This window comes from Homo sapiens, chromosome 7, assembly GCF_000001405.40.
Source record: "Homo sapiens chromosome 7, GRCh38.p14 Primary Assembly".
Lineage (NCBI taxonomy): Eukaryota > Metazoa > Chordata > Mammalia > Primates > Hominidae > Homo > Homo sapiens.
The window spans coordinates 22,202,559-22,219,780 of record NC_000007.14 but is presented as its reverse complement, the minus strand read 5'-3'; the positions used below and the strand labels follow the sequence as shown (position 1 = coordinate 22,219,780).

Below are 17,222 nucleotides of genomic sequence, written 5' to 3'. Positions count from 1 at the left end.
TATTTTAAATTCTTTAGGTTTTGGGGGTTTTTTTCCCCCCAAGAGCATCCTCCTTAGTAAAAATGACAGCTGCTCATAGCTCTAAGCAAGTGGCTTATGACACAGGATTTATAAGAGACTCTTCTCAAAAGTAAATTATGTAGAAATATGAGAATACATTTAAGCAAATATGAATCCTTATCTATTTATGATCCTGCTTGGGTGGCTTTCAAGTTTGATTTTGGAAGTTTTGCCTTATCATATAGTTTGTAGAACATGAATTTTGAAAAAACATTTCAACATATTTTTATGTTTAGTACAGAGGTGGATCTAGTTGCCAAATGAATGTGTCCTAAGTCACTAGAAATAGATGAAAACACAAAAAGAGATTATAGATGCTCTCACCAAGTGGGAGGGTCAGAAGGGAGTTTTCCCAGTATCTTATGAAGGCTTGTGTTCCAACAAGAGTTATATTGTTTGAATATAGTTAAAGCTGGAGGAAAGGGACGTTCCGCTTGGTCCTCCTGAAAGCAGTTATTCAGATTGAGCCTTAGAACTGAGAGTGCTGCCGTCATGCTGGGAAGACAATGGGACCACTTTCTTGTGCCACACATTGTTATCTGTTGACTTGGTTGTTGTTGGTTATGAGACTTCACTCTCAGTGCTGCACTATCCAGGATTGCTCATGAAGGGGAAAATTCCTCTGCGCTTATACATGTGTTTCTCTGACTTTAATTTTTCCTTGAGATTTTGTTTTCAACCCTTTCCAAGGGGGAAAACATTGCTTCATGCTTTTTCTCCTCCAAGTCTATTAATACAAATGGCAGGGTTTTACTGAGAAGGAGAGGAGGTAAGATGCTCAAGTCTGGCTGGCTGCTTAGTTTAATAACATAGCACTTCTCTAACAGTGAGACATCGAATTGTAACAGTTGGTGTCTCAAGAAAGAGAATAATTAGGCAGTTTCAAAGCGTTGTGATTGAACTATTTCAGAGGCGACTATTGACTTTAAGTGTGGATGTAGGTCTCAGGCAACCTTCACTTTGCTTGGAACTATTGAAAACTTTAGCACCTTGTTCAAGTTGTTAAAAGCACCCTGAAGTTTGACTATATCATAGACTGACGCCTAACCTCTGCTGTGTCCTTAGGATATTTGAGTATCCTAGTGTGCAGCTTAAATTTTTCAAAAATTTTCCTTTTGATTCATTTTAATTAGATGAGCAACAGTTTTCATATGCCATATTTTATTGATTTCAAGATGCACATTTCCCCCACAATAGTCTTAACAATTGATGATATGAAAACATGTCATAGTTTAATTGTGAGCATTTTTCTTTCCTTATGGTTCTTAAAATGAATGCTGTATCTTACAACTGATTGCAAGTTAGGTCCAGTAAACCAGTAACAACTTCAGGTATGGTAAGATCTTTCAAAAATCAAACAGTAGAACAGTAGGGTACCACTTCACCAAAGTTAGAGATCATAAGCTTTAGGCTTATGATTAAGGCTTATGACAAAACAACTTTGCACTTATTAAAAAGATACCTCTGTGTTGTCTTTGTTGTATATTTAGTTCAGTCCAGAATATTATAAGTAGTCACGGCCAATGAGATTATAATACTCTTCAAATCTGTAACTATAGAAATCTACACTTCCTGTGTCCTTGTGTTCTCACTGGGTGAGAGGAGGGGGTAGGGATAGCATTAGGAGATATACCTAATGTTAAATGACGAGTTAATGGGTGCAGCACACCAACATGGCACATGTATATATATGTAACAAACCTGCACATTGTGCACATGTACCCTAAAACTTAAAGTATAATTAAAAAAAAAAGAAATCTACATTGGGGCTGATAATTGTAAAGGCTTTTAACATGAGGCAGAAATTTAGTGATTGAAGATTTGCAGCTTTGCTCTGGTTATCTGCTCTGTCACCTTTAAACCTTCATTTCACTTGTAAAACAGAACACTAACATTTTTTACTTCTTGCGTGACTGTCATATCATGGGTGCATTAACAGCTCTGAAACGTTTTTGTTTCTGAGAGGAAAGATGGTGTGTAAATAAACATTGGAATTATGACTTTTTCTATGTAGACTTTCCTGTGAAGCTTAAAATAAGGAAAGGAATATTAGGGATCTTTCTTTCTAGTGATAAATATAAACAAAGCCATTCTGTCATCTCCCTTCTGCAGGATGACACCAGTGGAATCTTTCAACTCTCAAGGCTGATATTGATGTAGTCCTCCACTAAATGAATTATTTGGTACTAGATGGTTACAGTTTTTGCAGTAATTTATTAGGAATAAAAACCACCTGCTAATTCACTTCAATCTTTTATGTCTTGGGCATTTGATGTGCCTATACCTTTGCTTACCCCTTAAGTTCACAGTGTTCATGAAGGTGGTGCAGTGTTTTCGTTTTTCCTGTCCTCACTTTCTTTACAGTAGCAGTCATCTGCTCTTCATAGAAACTCAGTTCTGACACACAGCATGGACAGAGGAAACTGCAGTTTACTTAACGTAAACCTAGGTCTGCAGTTTCCTCTTCTTGTTATAACAATAATGACCAAACCCTGAAGTTACATACAGATTTCCTTTCTTTTATGATTTTAAAATGCTTCATCGACTTCATCCACCATTCCTGGGCCAAAGCTAGTTAAGTCGACAGTGATAAAATTTGAGTTAGAATCCAAGTTGCCTATTGAGTCATTCTTTTGACTAACCTTCATTACTTTCCAGTTCTAGAATGCCACATAGATGCCAAAGAGAGAGCTAATTTGTAGCACTACTGCACAGGCAAAGACATAAATTTGATAGAATAAAGCCTTTGTTGCTGGTACATCTTGTTACAAATTGAAGGGGATTACAGCTTTCTCAGTAGGCATTTCTAATATTTTCTTAACTGCTAAATGCTGTGATTATAAATGCATGCCATTAGAGAAATGCTTCACTCTATGCTTTTGCCAAGGTGTTTCTGAAATTTAAGAAGTTAAATGTATAATTATCGCAAGCTTCTCAGGAAGCACTCCATTTTTCTATTTTCTATTAACTAGCTGTAGGCACAATGAGCAAGCACTCATTCCTATGTGTTGAAAATTATTATGGGAGGACTTTCAGAAGGGGAAAGAAATGGGCTGTGTCTTCTAAACATTATGATAGTAGAGTTAACATTGAGTTGTTGGTTCTTTAAAGAAATTATCTCTGATGTAGGCATTGTATTTCCTAGCCTTAATTCTGTGACTGTGCCAACAGAGCAAGGGACGTGTGTTATCAGATGGGGACCTTTGAGCTTGACCCTGAAGAATGACTAATGGTCATAGAAGAAGGCAGGGGACAGCATTTCAGGCAGAGGGACCCATGGGAAGATACATGACTGCAGTCCTGGTGATTCCTAGGGAATGGAGAGGGGTGGGCTGGGAGTCAGCCTAAAATTCCATTATGAAAGACTGGTAAGCTAAAAAAGTCTACCAGCTACCCTAAGGAGCTTAAACTTGCCTTTTGGTCAAAGGAAAGCCATCAAAGAAGGGAAGTGGCATAATCAGATGTGGCCTTTGTAAGATCTCTCTGGCATTGCTTTAGAGGAAGAATTGAGTGAAGAAGAGGGAAATGTTGGAAAGAACCTTTAGAAAGCTACCATAGTGAGTCAAGTGAGAGGTGCCAGCCTGAACTGGGGCAATGACCATAAGAACTGAGGAGGGAGTAAATGTGGAAAGTCATTTACACAGTAAAATTGACAGAATTCAGTGACTAGCAATGGGGGATGTGCATGCTATTTTATATTAAGCAATTTGTAAGGATTCTTTGGTATAGTGGCAGACATAAGAATGTTGTGTTTCTTACCACCTTTGCCAAAAAGCTATGTAAGCCATTTCCCTTGCTTTGTTTGCCTGCAGTTTGCTTCAGGTAGCTGAGATGTTAGTATTTATCTCACTGACAGATTGTTAGGTGGGGTTCTGGCAAACACTATGGGGACTACACAAACTTTTCTTTCCAGAACCCTTTGAAAATACCTTAAACAGAGAGAATCTCTGGTAGCTCCCAAATAAACCGACATATTTGGCCAGAGCTTTGGCATTTGCTGCAATATGTGTGCCTTCCTCAGAATTAACTGGGATTTTAGGGTGGCTCTCCTGATCTCTGTAATCTGAGTTGGTGTTACTATACTTCTATTCTAGAATACTCTCTGTCATCCATTCATTTGCTAACTTTTGTTCAAGCCGATGTCATAGAGGAGCCAGGCTAACTATGGTGGCTCCCAACTATGTGGCTCCTGCCCTCAAGAAGTATAGTCTAGTTGTGGAGGAAAGATATCAACACAACTAACTGAGATACAAGGAAGCAGTGAAGAGAATCCCAAGAGAGACACATAGGAGTTTGAAGAAGAATTTACACCTGAGAAAGCAGGATTCTTTCATAGGGCAGAAGTAGTTTGACCTGGACCTTAAATTAGGTTTTGGGTTGGATTTAAAGAATCCACATTGAAGAAGAGTATTCCTAGTGGGAAGAATAGCATTAGAAAATGCACAGAGATACCAAAATATTAGATGTTTTTTGGAACTCTGAAACGATTTCATGTTTCCAGAATACCAAGAATTGGGGGTGTGGGAGGGGAGGCAGGAGAAGGAAGATTTCATGAGAAATGAGATTGGGACCAGACTGTGGAGGATTTTGAGGGCTGAGAAGTTTTACTTCATTCTAGAAATAATGAGGAACGACTCAGCATTTGTTTGCCTGCAGTTTGCTTCAGGTAGCTGAGATGTTAGTATTTATCTCACTGACAGATTGTTAGGTGGGGTTCTAACTTTTCCTAAGGAAGATGGTTGAGGCAGGGCCTTCATGAGATAAATTATATTATTTCAATCTGACTGAACAGTGACTGAATAGTGAGGGAGCTGAAGAGTGATTAAGCAGACTTGGGGCCAGAGTGAATTCAAGTCTGATTGCCTCTGGAGGGTGTCTTCCTTCAGCCTTCATCACTGGAGTGAGGACTGATAGGTGGCCCAGAAGCCAAGGTAACCGGAACCACAGCAGTCCTTCGAAAGAGGGCATGCACTCAGAGGGCAGCTCTGGAGGACAGAGACAGAAAGAATACGTAGGGAGGGATGGGGGTTGGGGGGCGGGAATGCAGAAAAAGAAAAGGTGCTTGCCCAGTCGTAACTTAGATTTGAAAAGCTTATAAACTTTTCATATTTTATTTTCAGTAAAATAGTTACATCAAAGTATATGACTAGATGGATGTGGGTCCTATTTCCAGGAATATAGCTGCACTATTCACCAGAAAACTGAACCTGTATTTTCCCGAAATGTAGTTTATGCTTTGTAGTGTATTAAATTGTAGATTAGAAATACCAACAATAGCTCCTAACCTGACTTCCTGACTTCCAACTGTAGAAATGAGCAGTATCTGTAAAATGTATGTGAAAACTTGGTTCAGCAATACTTTCCCTAGGGATCCTGTCTGTATCCCTCCCTTGCCCCACCCCATTTTCTTCTGTTCCTTTGTTAAGTCTGGGGACCCACCCTACTTCCTTCCCCTTTTCTAATTCACTCATGAAATATGGATGGGTGGGAAGGGGATTTTGCACACTCTGAAACTGCATCTTGGCACAGTCTGCTGCCAGGGTAGGGTCTCTATCACTCAGCCTCAACCGGAATTTCCTTTTCCCTGTTTCCTGCAGCCTCATCCTGGAATTCTGCCTACGTCAAAGGTTCCTTGTTTAAGGATTACGAGGGGAGAAGTGGTTTGGAGTATTCTGGCTACTGTCACACTTATTTACATATTAAAAGTTGGTCTCTACCTTTTCCCAAATTTCATTTTGTCTCTTTTTAAGCAGTTAAATATAAGGTGAAAATCCTCTTTTTACTCTATATGAAATACTAAAAGGAAAAGAGGTTTGATCATTGTTTTCAAACTTATAATTGTACATCTAGGTGAGTAGTTTCAAGCAATCCCAGCATTATTTGAAGTTTATCAGTAATTTAGTTTAACCAAGAAACTACTTACTAAAGAGAAGTAGAACTTTCTAACATTACTGTAATAGAATTGAAAGTCACAACTAGGGTATAATAGGCAATTCATAATACATTAAGTTGCCCAATTATAAACTGAGAAATCACCTCATTGAAACCAGGTTATTTTTCTTAATAACAAAATCCTGACTTTGTGTTGGATTGGTATTAAAGTATCTTTCCATTGGAATTAGGCTTCCTGGAGTGAGTTATTATAGTCCATTTTTAATAGGGAATAATATGGCCACAGAGTAACAAAAAAGTAGAAGTAGCTAGTTCTTGCCTCCAAGAAGTTTACAGTCTAGCTGGGGAAAGAATTTATACATGGAAAACAGTTAACCATTCAAGACAGCATTTAATGAAGTCTCTAAATAAGACATTTAGAGGGAAGTAAAATCTGGCAAACACATTTCACAACTGCAGCAAACCATGCTCTTCTCATTTATTTAGGAACAAGGTTTACAAGTTTGGTTCACTGTGTGTGCTCTTTAAATTCTAGCTTTTCCTCCAGAAAAATAGCAGTTAACTGCCAGTGAAAGTCAGTGGTGTGCTCCTGCTGTCTGGTGGAACCATCTGCTCATTAGCTGTATTTTTAGGTTTTCACAAGAAGCCCACTGCAAGTCCTAACATTTTTAAAAAATTAGTTTGAGCGGTTTTGAAGAGAGAGGAATTTGTCATTATGCTATTTTTTGACGGTGCTCAAGTTTATTTTAAAAGGCTCAATCAAGAACATTGATACTGGCTCAGTTTGTTTGATTTATCAAACTCATGTTATCAAAGGGTCCTTTTATTCTCTGCTGTACAAATGCTGCTCCTAGCTTTATTAGGTTCTTATTCTTGTAAAATTAAAATAGCCATATCATCTGCAATATGGTTGAAAAATCATTAAAGTGAAGTATTGAAAAGCAGGTTATTTGCCACTGTTGTTTTGCCATCACCCTCCTCCCCCAGTGGTATATCTCACTCCAGACCCCAGGTGACCTTATATTCTTTTCTTCTCTACCCCCATCAAGGCCTGATCTGCATTAATGTAACAGTGTTACTACCATGTAGTCTGGTGTCTGATCAGGCAACACTAGAAACTTTTGTCAGGCTGGTGTTATTTGGGTTTATAATGAATGTTTTAAGACAAAAAGTTTAGGGAAAGGATGCACAGACAGATGGAGAGTTGTTCATGATAACTGTGTACTTCCAAGGTTTGGAAAAATAAAAAGAAGAGATATCAAGAAGTAAAGAGACATAGGCAGCAATTTACAGTGTGGCTTGGTTCCTGAAGGACTGCCCTGATACATCTCTGACCTCATGAACTGATGTTCTGCGAGAAACTCAGAGACTGAATTCAGTTTACCTGTGTGGTCAGCATCCAAGTGCTGTGGAAGCATTTAACAGGGACCTTGGCTAGTCTAGGGAGTCATGCACATTTCCCTGAGAGAGAGAGAGAGACAGAATCTGAAGGGTCAGGAGAGCTATGAAAAGTGAGGAGGGATGGGTGTTCCAGGCAGAGGAAAGAACACATGTGAGGCCGGGTGTGGTGGCTCACGCCTGTAATCCCAGCACTTTGGGAGGCCAAGGCGGGTGGATTACGAGGTCAAGAGATTAAGACCATCCTGGCTAACACGGTGAAACTCTGTCTGTACTAAAAATACAAAAAATTAGCCAGGCATGCTGGCGGGTGCCTATAGTCCCAGCTACTCGGGAGGCTGAGGCAGGAGAATGGAGAATGGCGTGAATCCGGGAGGCGGTGCTTGTGGTGAGCCGAGATTGTGCCACTGCATTCCAGCCTGGGCAACAGTGCGAGACTCGGTCTAAAAAAAAAAAAAAAAAAAAAAGAGAACACATGTGATAACACAAGGGGCCTGATGTGGAGAAGAGAGCAGCTTTAGAAACAGAACCAACCAGCTGGAGCCTAAGTGTGGACTGTGGATGGGAGAGGTAGGGCCAGGTGAAGAAGGTGCAGGAGCTGGAGGATGCAGGACCTGTGGGTTTATCCAAACATTGTGTGCTAAGAGCAATAGGAAGCTTTTGTGTAGAATTTAAGCAAGAAGGAAGGAAAAATGATTAGATTTAAATTTTTAACATTCCTCCGTTGCAATGTGGGAACAGATTTGAAGGAGGAGAATGGGTCACACTCACTCCTTCAAAGCTTCCTGGTCCCACTTCCCTCACAGTCCTCTCTGTCGATTTCACATTAAGTAGTAACCAGCATACATGCAAAAGGATTTGCTGTGGGCAGCTCAAGTCAGGGGACTTCAGTTCCAGGAAGACAGAATGTCCAGTGATAGTTCACTTCTAATTTATTACCTTTTCCCTAAAATATACTGCTATATCACCATTTTTCTTTAACAAGTTGGCTTGGAGTCAGTCCTGTTTTTGTAGAAATGAATTTTGTGCATGCATATAATGTGAATATCTTTTGTTAATAAACACCATGCAGGCAGATATGTTCGCTTTAAATACAACTTACTGTGCTGTATATTTGCCTCATATTGATTCAGCCAAAGTTTGGTGATTTCTGAGTCATTCATATACTTTGGTTGCTAAAGATGAGGAAAAGAAATTTATAAAAGATGTCCATGTAGGATGCAAAGAACCTTTTTTTCCTTTTGCAGTGGGAAGTGGGTGGAAAGGAAAAATTCCATCTGGCATCCAGCAGTCCTAAATGTTGTTTTAAGATAGCAAAAATAGAAGATTGCTGAAAATATCATAACAGAACATAACAGACTGTGGGCAAGTGTACAGTACATTTTTTCTAATAAATCATGCTAAATATGCGTATTTTACTTATAACATGACCAAGTTCTTGTTTGCTGTTACATAAAAATTTGTCTTTATTTTTTGTATTAAAATTATCTGCTCTCTTTTTGAAGCAAAAAGGATGATTGTTTTGGTCTGAAGAGATCAGTGTTGCAGTACTTAGGTTTAACTGGAATAGGTTTTTGAATTTTGCAGTTTTCCCCTCTTTTTCCAGCATTTCCCTCCTACATTTAAAAAAAAATGGAGAAATAAGATGTGGCATGTATGTTCATTTATGGCACATTTGTACATAAGTCAGTGAACAAGGCTCAACCATTTTAACAAATCCTTGTAAATGTCCTCTTTGTTCAGGTTCCAGGAATGACTGGGCACGACTGAGGCAAAGTGAGTCAGAGTAAAGGATTAGGGGCACCTCAAGATCCAAGAAACACATAATAGTAGAGAATAATGGTGATAATGAGACAATTAAGATGTCAGAAAGTGGCTTGGAGGTATGGATTCACAAGAAGGCTCAAAAAACTTAATGAGTCATAAAGCATATCTGGGTGACCTCAGAGGTGCGAGTCGGGGTGGAATGTGTCAAGGTAAAATTTTTGCCCTCCACCATCAAAGAGAGGAGACAGTGGTACTTCCTACAGATAGTTCTTAAAACCTTTCATGATCTTGCCTTGGCTAGGATTTAGAGAAGTAGAACAAGCTTTATGTTGACACCCCTGTGAATAAAGAATTCTAACATTCCCCAAATGGCACAATGCATAATAAAATCCCAAAGTGAGTTTTATGATTGCTGGATGCTATCACTTTCTCCCTGCTCAGTCAACTTATTGTTATTACAAATTGGGGGTTTGTGATGATGCATTATTTTTCACCATCAGTCTGAGTAGTCTGGAGTTTTCCTCTGAGAGTCATAGGCATTAGAAAGAACTTTAGATATCATGTGTCTTGATGGCTTGGGGAAGGAAAACTTTATTTCTAAAACTGGCACCTGCTAAATAGGATTATAAGCAGTTTCCTCTAAAAAGGGGAAAATATATTCTAAGACCATTAGTTCTTTTGGAAGTGCATTAGTCACAAGAAAATGTTAAAACATTTCCATTGATAATATCTTCTAGCAAAAGTAAATACCTTTTAGCCTCTGTAATCAGAAGCAATTTTGTTAATAGTTTGTTAACAAAAAGTGTAATTCTTTAGTTTGTTAGAGAACTTCTTAATTCAGGCTTTGTGCTTTTATCTCTTTGTGTTCCTGAAGTTAGATTTTGTGAGGCCCTAAAGTGAGGCTGGGCTGATCGACGTGACCCTTGCCCTAAGACAACACTTCTTTAGAACTACTCCTCCCCTACCTATTAGCAGTTAGCCCCTCAAAAATTAGTGACTCATGAAAGTGGGCACAAACAATTTGGCCAGCAAAAAATAAATGGGATCATTCAGTTCTTCTCATTAAACACCCATCTGGAAGCACATGTCTAAAAATTATCTCAGTATTAAAACAACACTCAGGTATAACTCTAAAAATGGTGGGGGGGAAGGATAGTTGAAGCTACAGACATAATACTTTCCTCTCTAATAATATGTATGAGTAGAATTTTAGAAGATATGTAAGTAAAAACTGTAGGATACGAAATGGAGAGATGAGAGCACACACGGCCCAAGTAGGTATTGATTTACACCTACAGGTTTGTGATTAAAGGATGAGCCAAGAAAGGGATAAAAGGAAGATCTTGAGCCTGCACAAGGCAGACTTCTGCCTATTCCTTAAAATCTGAGAAAAGAAACTTTGGAACAAAAGAGAGAGCCAATTTTATTCTGATTGTCTTTCAGGAATATACTTGAATGCCAGATGTTTGTGCACAGAAGCCTTTCATGACTTGTTGAACTATTAAATGCCATTGCCATTATAATTTGGCAATCACCTCTGACCTTTATCTCAATTGTCAGTAGATCCCATTTCCATCCCAAGTCAGTAAATCTAAGTTCCTCTCCTTTAGTATTACTCATAATCTTGGCACATAGAGGAGATGTGCACAGACCTGACAAAATTCACCACACCCTGGAAAGAACCTTATTAATAATGATCAGAGTGGCTGTAGGTACCTTCAGCATCTGCAGCTGCACCAATAATGGTGCCCCACACTTTGTGGTTTGTGATTTTTGCATCTTAGCTCTGACTTCTACTTTACGTTCCATATCTGGCTAGTCCAGTTCTTCCCTAGAATCTTTGGAGAAGAACGTAGCAAAAGAGTGTCTTGCTGGTCTCATTTTGGTCCAAACCCAAGTTTTTAGATTGCTTCAATCCAGACTAGAGAAGCAAAAAATGGTGACTTTTCCTTCTGAGTGATTGATGATAGTAGGCTGCAGACATCTCAGTCTAGGGAACCCTATAAAGAAGGAAGAATTGGGCAGCACAGGCCTGTGGAAGACCCAGTGAAGGGAATTATTCCTTAGCTGAGTGTGATGAGCCAGAGACACAGGGATTTTGGTCACACTGGTTATTGCACTGGTCTTCAGACAGAGGCCAGCATCCCTTATGATCATCCCTAATGATCTGTGCTGAGCTGATCAGACAGTTTCTCCACCATCAGCAGCTTAATTCAGATTCCTTCATTTGAACTCACAGAGATGATTAGAAAGAGTTATACTAGTGAAGATAGAAGACAACCAAATAGCTATTTAGCTTGTTGCCACCAGTGTAGTCATTCAGTGACAATACATAAAGTTAACTTTGTTGATGGCCTAAATAATTTTAATGTCAGTACAACCTTTTTTTTATAAGTAGAGCAAAATTTTAAAATATCTGGCTAAGATTAATTTATTCTTACCTTCATTCACTGAGAAAAGCATTTGTTGAGCACCTATGAACAAGACATCACATGAAATAGAACAGAGACAGAAATGAGCAAGGTGTGATGTGAGCCCCAAAGATACCGGCATTTAATGAGACAGAAGCATGTGAAATGAGACAGAAGCATGTGAAAACCCAGACAGGAAAACCCAGTAAAGAAGAAGGGCAAAAACACACAGAAGAGAGGGCCAGGAAAGGCTTCCAGATGGGAGGAAAGAGTGCACTTTGAATAAGGTATTTGTTTCCAGAAAATTGTTTTCTCACATTCCTGTAAGGCATTTGCTAAATTAAGCATCATCTTTTTTACTTCCTGGGTTATGGCCAGGTCAGGACACAAATCATAAATGACAAAGATTATAAATCTCAAATCTAAAGGAGGTTGCATATTGGAGTTTACAATTCATTCCCTTCCCCATTTTCTAGCTACAAAATATACTTGTCAAAAAAAATTTAGTATATTATACATAGTCCTTGGCGTGTTTCACTGATTGAATTTGTTTTTGAAAACAGGCTTCATCTGGAAGAGGTTTACAGGTGTTTAACAGTCCAGAGTAAAGTAGCAAGCAACTTGCTGGAATTTATAGCACATTTCTGTTAAAGAATTTTTGTTGTTTAAAGTTGTTCTACTACTGTAAAAGTAATGTATGCCCTTCATAGAGAATTTAGAAATAATAGAAAGTTACAAGGAAGAAAATAAAAATTTAATGATAAACCACTATTTCCTCCCCCCACCCCCTGGCTGTCCCCAGTCTTTGTATTCTGAGGCTTTCCTCATATTTTCATGACATGCTTTACTTAGCTACCCTTCCCTGGGGGAATTTTGCTATTATAAACTATAACGCGCAACTCTCCAAAAATCTTTAACTAAGTTTATATTCTTAAGGATAAATTCCTAGTAGCAGAATTACTACTTATAAATATAAACTGCATTACTATCTTTTATGTTTTTACCCAACCACTTTCCAAAAAGCTTGTGCTAGTTTTTACTTAAATCAGCAATATATGAAATTACTTGTTTTGTAATCCCTTCATCCTAGCTTTCACCTTCATTGAGTGTTACAATTTTGAGTAGGAGAAACTATGTTATCTTTGTCAGGTTGATGGTGGCCAAGGGAGAGGGAGGAAAATACTATCTTGTTCAAATGTACATCTCTAGTGTAGTTGAATATTTGCGACTTATATCAACCTATTTCTCTTTCTTCTGTAAGTAATTTATTTTTCTCCTTTCTCATTTTTCTCACTGAAATTTTCTTATTGATTTGGACAAGTTATTTACATATGAAGGATATAAAATTTTGTCATATTTGTTGCATATTGTTTTCCTCAGTTTGTTTTCTACTTAGTTTGTTTCCTAATTAATTATTTTTATACACATGAGTGGAAATGTTTTTTATTTTTAATATTGTCTTTAAAATGAGAAATCCCTTCCTCATTAAGTAAAATTTTATTTTATTTTTTCTATTCCTTTTGGAGTTGCACTTTTCACTCAGACCTCTTTTTTTTTTTTTTTTCTTGTGACATGGGTCTCACTCTGTTGCCCAGGCTGGAGTGTGATGGAAAAATCACAACTCACTGCAGCCACAATCCTCCCACCTCAGCCTCCAGAGTAGCTGAGACTACAGGCATGTACTACCACGCCCAGCTAATTTTTTGGTATTTTTGTAGAGACAAGGCCTCACTATGTTGCCCAGGCTGGTCTCCAACTCCTTAGCTCTGGAAATCCTCCCAACTCACCCTCCTAAAGTGCTGGGACTATAAGCATTAGCCACTGAGATTGGCCTCACTTGGATTTTTTAATATAGCTGTGATTTATTTTTGTAATGTAAGATTTCTTGATCAACTATCACATGCATAATTTTTCTTCAGTTAATTTACTATTTTATTACTAGCATCAAAGACATTCATTTTATTCTGGAAGAATTGAAATTCTGTGATGAACAAACTACCTCCCAAGTTAATATGTTGAGTGCTGATTTAGTAAATCACTTTACCTCTCTGAGCTTCAGTCTTCTCATCTAATAAATTAAGATATTAGATGTCTAAGATTTCTTCTAGCTCTAAAATTCCTTTCTTAACTTGAAGACACCCTTCCCCCCAGATTCTGCAATATCCATGCTTTTGAGTGTTGAACTCTTTCTGGGAAAATGTCACCATTTTATAAAGGATACCAATTGATTACTCAGGAAGTTCTGAGTAGCTCTTTTTTCACTCTGATTGAATATGTCTATCAATGCCAAGAATCATTCTGTTCTTTTATGTTCTAAAAATACTCCAGTGGATAGAACTTCTAAAAATTTACTCTGTGAAATGGTGTTGATACAGGACAGATGGCTGATCTAGCATATCCAGCTAGAAGTGTCTGTTATCAGGACATTAAAATGATATTTCAAGTCAAGTCATTAAATATTTGGAATTGTTTCTCTGAGATCAGAATGTCCTGAGGAGGATCAAAATCTGGAATTCCCAAATCTCTGCAGTGAAGGAAATGCTAGCTCTTACTGCCTTGAACTCTTAGAAATACCAAGAAAGTAACCTAGTTCTTGATGTTGGCTAGGTTCATTAGCTGCTACCCACAGCCTAGCTCCAAATTACTGTTTTTAAAACATGCAGATTTTTGTCTCTTACATGTCTATCTGTCACGTGAAGAATTTACTCTTTGAGAGCATGCCTATATTTTATTTGAACTTTTATCCCCAGTGTTTAGCACTAGGCTTTCAGTCAGTGTTTGTGGAACTGGAGCTGATAGAGAAGGAAATTGTGGGTGGTTTGAGATGTTTCCCACAGTCGAGTACTTCAAATCACATCTGTAAAAATCCAAAGTTTTACCAGCTTCAGGATTCCAGTTCATTGGATATTTAAAGTTTTAAATAAGAAGTTTTCTACCTTAGAGAATTAACCTGGAAATGATAAGCAGAAAAGGCAGGAAGGTTCATCACCGGTAGTCACTTTGTAATACAGAAAAGTCTTTGGAAGAATCCATCCCTGGTAAAGAGTGGATGCAGACGTTCAGACTTTAATGGATCACAGGTTGTGGAGCAAAGATCTTACCTGGGCAGGTTTGTACGTGAGGATTTTGACCTTCTTTGGCCCTCCAGGTGCACATTAATATTCAGGAAAAGAGAATTTGTTTTTCATATGTGTTATCACTTTAATATTAATTCCTCACTTAAATACTAATTCCTTTTTTGTTCCCCCAGTCTGTCCTCCTCTTCTCTCCACACCTATTCCCTCCCTTGGAAAAAAAGGCAGGAGAGATCTACCCCTATGCAAGCAAATTCATCTTTGTCTTATTTTAACCTTCGCTCTTCCTTTTTACCTTCTGGTTTTTTGTTTACTTTTTTGCTTGCCTCTCAAATCATTTTAGCAATATTTCATTACATCTTACATTCTCTTAACCTATTTTTAATACCAACTTCCTGTTACTGTTCCATGCACCAAGAGTGCCACTTTGTCTACCTTTATCCCAACCTTGTTTCAAACTGTGAAATGAAGTTTCTGAGATGGCTACAGCAGAGACCAAAGGCGTGCCTCCCTAAAAACACCAAGGAATGTACAAAACATGAAAAAACAGGAGTGTTTACTTAAGATGCTTTGTATCTCCTCACTCTCATTCCATGTGATCTGGCAGCTGCTACAGTAGCTAGAAATTTTTCATTCCATAACTTGCATAAATACTGAAACTCCCCCTTTGGATTGCTACTTTGCCCTCATGGAAGTTCCACAGGCATGCGTGCACACACACACAAGCATTTCCTCACGTACACACATGCAGATGCTCATTGACACACACGCACAGGAAATTTGGGAAGAGTGATAGAGTTCTTTGACTTGAAGCCTTTCAATTTTTTAGAGTTTATTTCCTTTTTAAGTTTGAAGAATACTTCTGCTGGGTCTGCTCAGACATAAGAACTAGCTTTTTCAAATAATTTCAGTTTATGAATTAGTTCTTCACTGAGTCAGGAGGTATCAAACACAACTAAGTTTCAGATCCTATGGGAGGAATTTGAGAGGAGAAGTCAAAGCCATAGGAACCAGTCAGGGCTAGCTATTTTATGCTGCTCTGAAAAGTCATGTTATCCTCTTGTTGTTCAGTTGTAAAGGCTTCTGTAAAACTGCTGCCATGGATTATTCAAACCCCACGGGACAAATATATCTGCAACCAGAATGTAGAAACTTTAATCATAATTTAGTGTAGGTTTCTGTCCTACCTTTGGGCTGCTAGTGAAAAGCAGTGATTCGGGTTACTGGCAATTTTTTTCCCTTTCTTCTTCTACATTTCAGGAAATGCTTAAGGATCTAATTTAGATTTCTGCATCCTCATTTCTTCCGACGTGATCTCAAATAGGCCTCTGTCAGGTCATGTGTGCACACTGTACCATGCCTCAGTTGCCCGTTGACCCAGGCTGCTTGGTTTCAGGGAACTGAGGCACTGCTGAGGAGCCCTGGTCCACAGCATGCAGGTGGTAAGTGGCTCAAAAAATCTCAGTGGTTTCCTAGTTTGGCTGACCCTTCACCTATTCCCTCGGGCCTTCTAACCAGGGCGAATGGATGTACCTCCGAGTCTCTGCAGAAGGAAATAACCACCATATCTGGAACAAGGAGCAGCAGAAAGCAGTGGCATTCCAGCTGGCTCACTTCAGGTGACCGTGGCTGGCATCACACCTTGTTTGTCATTGCTGTGTTTTCTCCTGTGTATATTCCAGTCATGCCAACAATGAAGGATGCAACTGTGCCTTTGCAGATCGTCAGTCACCCTGACCAAAGACCAAGAGCCCATAGAGCATTAGCTATCTCTTGACATTCTGTGTTAAAAATGTAACAGTCAGAGAGACAACTGAACTTCCTTGTCTCCCTTCTTTTAGTTTTTGGTCTCTAGAGGTGTACACTTCTTGGCGAGTGAGATTTGCGGGGAGGTGAGTACCAGAAAGAAACAGCCCCACACGCCCATGAAAATGATCTATTTCATCATCCCTAGCCCTCCTCTGGCAGAGGGGCTTGGAACCTCCTTTTCTGCAGGTTCCGTGAGCTCTGTAGTTAACTCCTGTGATGCCCTCTGCCTCTCAGTAGCACATACAGCACCATAGGCAGCGGTTTGCATTGCAGTGGAAAAAATTTTATGTTATTTGTGTGTGTTTTTAAAATTTGGATGATATTTATATACACATACACATAAACAAAATCATAGCAAGACCCTGATACAAATTCAATTTTGTAATACTTCAGTGTTAGTATACTTGGATGGCATACAGTTACAATATAGTTTGTATATTTTTCTGCCCTCTATTTACTGAGGGCTTTCTCTGTGTCCAGTATTCAACTGGGTCTATAAGGTAGGGATTATCCCATTTCACAGGCAAGAAAGCTGATGCTCAGAGAGATAGACCACCCAGCTAGAAAGTGGCAACTCTAGGATTTGAACCAGGTCTGTCTTTGCTTTGGTGGATATCCGTTTAATTTGATTCAGGCTGTAAGTTCTTTGAAGGGCTGCCATCATCTGAGTTTAAGTTTTATGCTATTCAGAATTGGTTATTACCCATGAAATAGAGAGAAATGGACGATATCCCTGGCTTGCGGCTTGGTGGAAGGGTTCTTGGTAAGATGTGTACATTGTTAAACAAATTAGATTTATCTAGTCATTGGT

At 38.7% G+C, this 17,222-nt stretch overlaps 1 protein-coding gene across 5 annotated transcripts in view; it reads left to right on the top strand.

Moving 5' to 3' along the window:
- RAPGEF5 (Rap guanine nucleotide exchange factor 5) overlaps positions 1-17,222 on the top strand; it is a 238,919-nt gene that overhangs the window by 137,374 nt on the left and 84,323 nt on the right. The window contains exons 1-2 of one of the 5 annotated variants that reach the window (XM_047421084.1): positions 634-3,924; positions 4,769-16,044. The exons of 2 other annotated variants lie outside the window; for them this stretch is intronic. In XM_047421084.1, the coding sequence (XP_047277040.1) occupies positions 16,036-16,044 (9 nt within the window). In that variant the 5' untranslated portion in view covers positions 634-3,924; positions 4,769-16,035. Of the gene's footprint in view, positions 1-633; positions 16,045-17,222 lie in introns of those variants that run through there. 2 more of the 5 variants (XM_047421083.1, XM_011515652.3) reach the window with 2 other exon arrangements.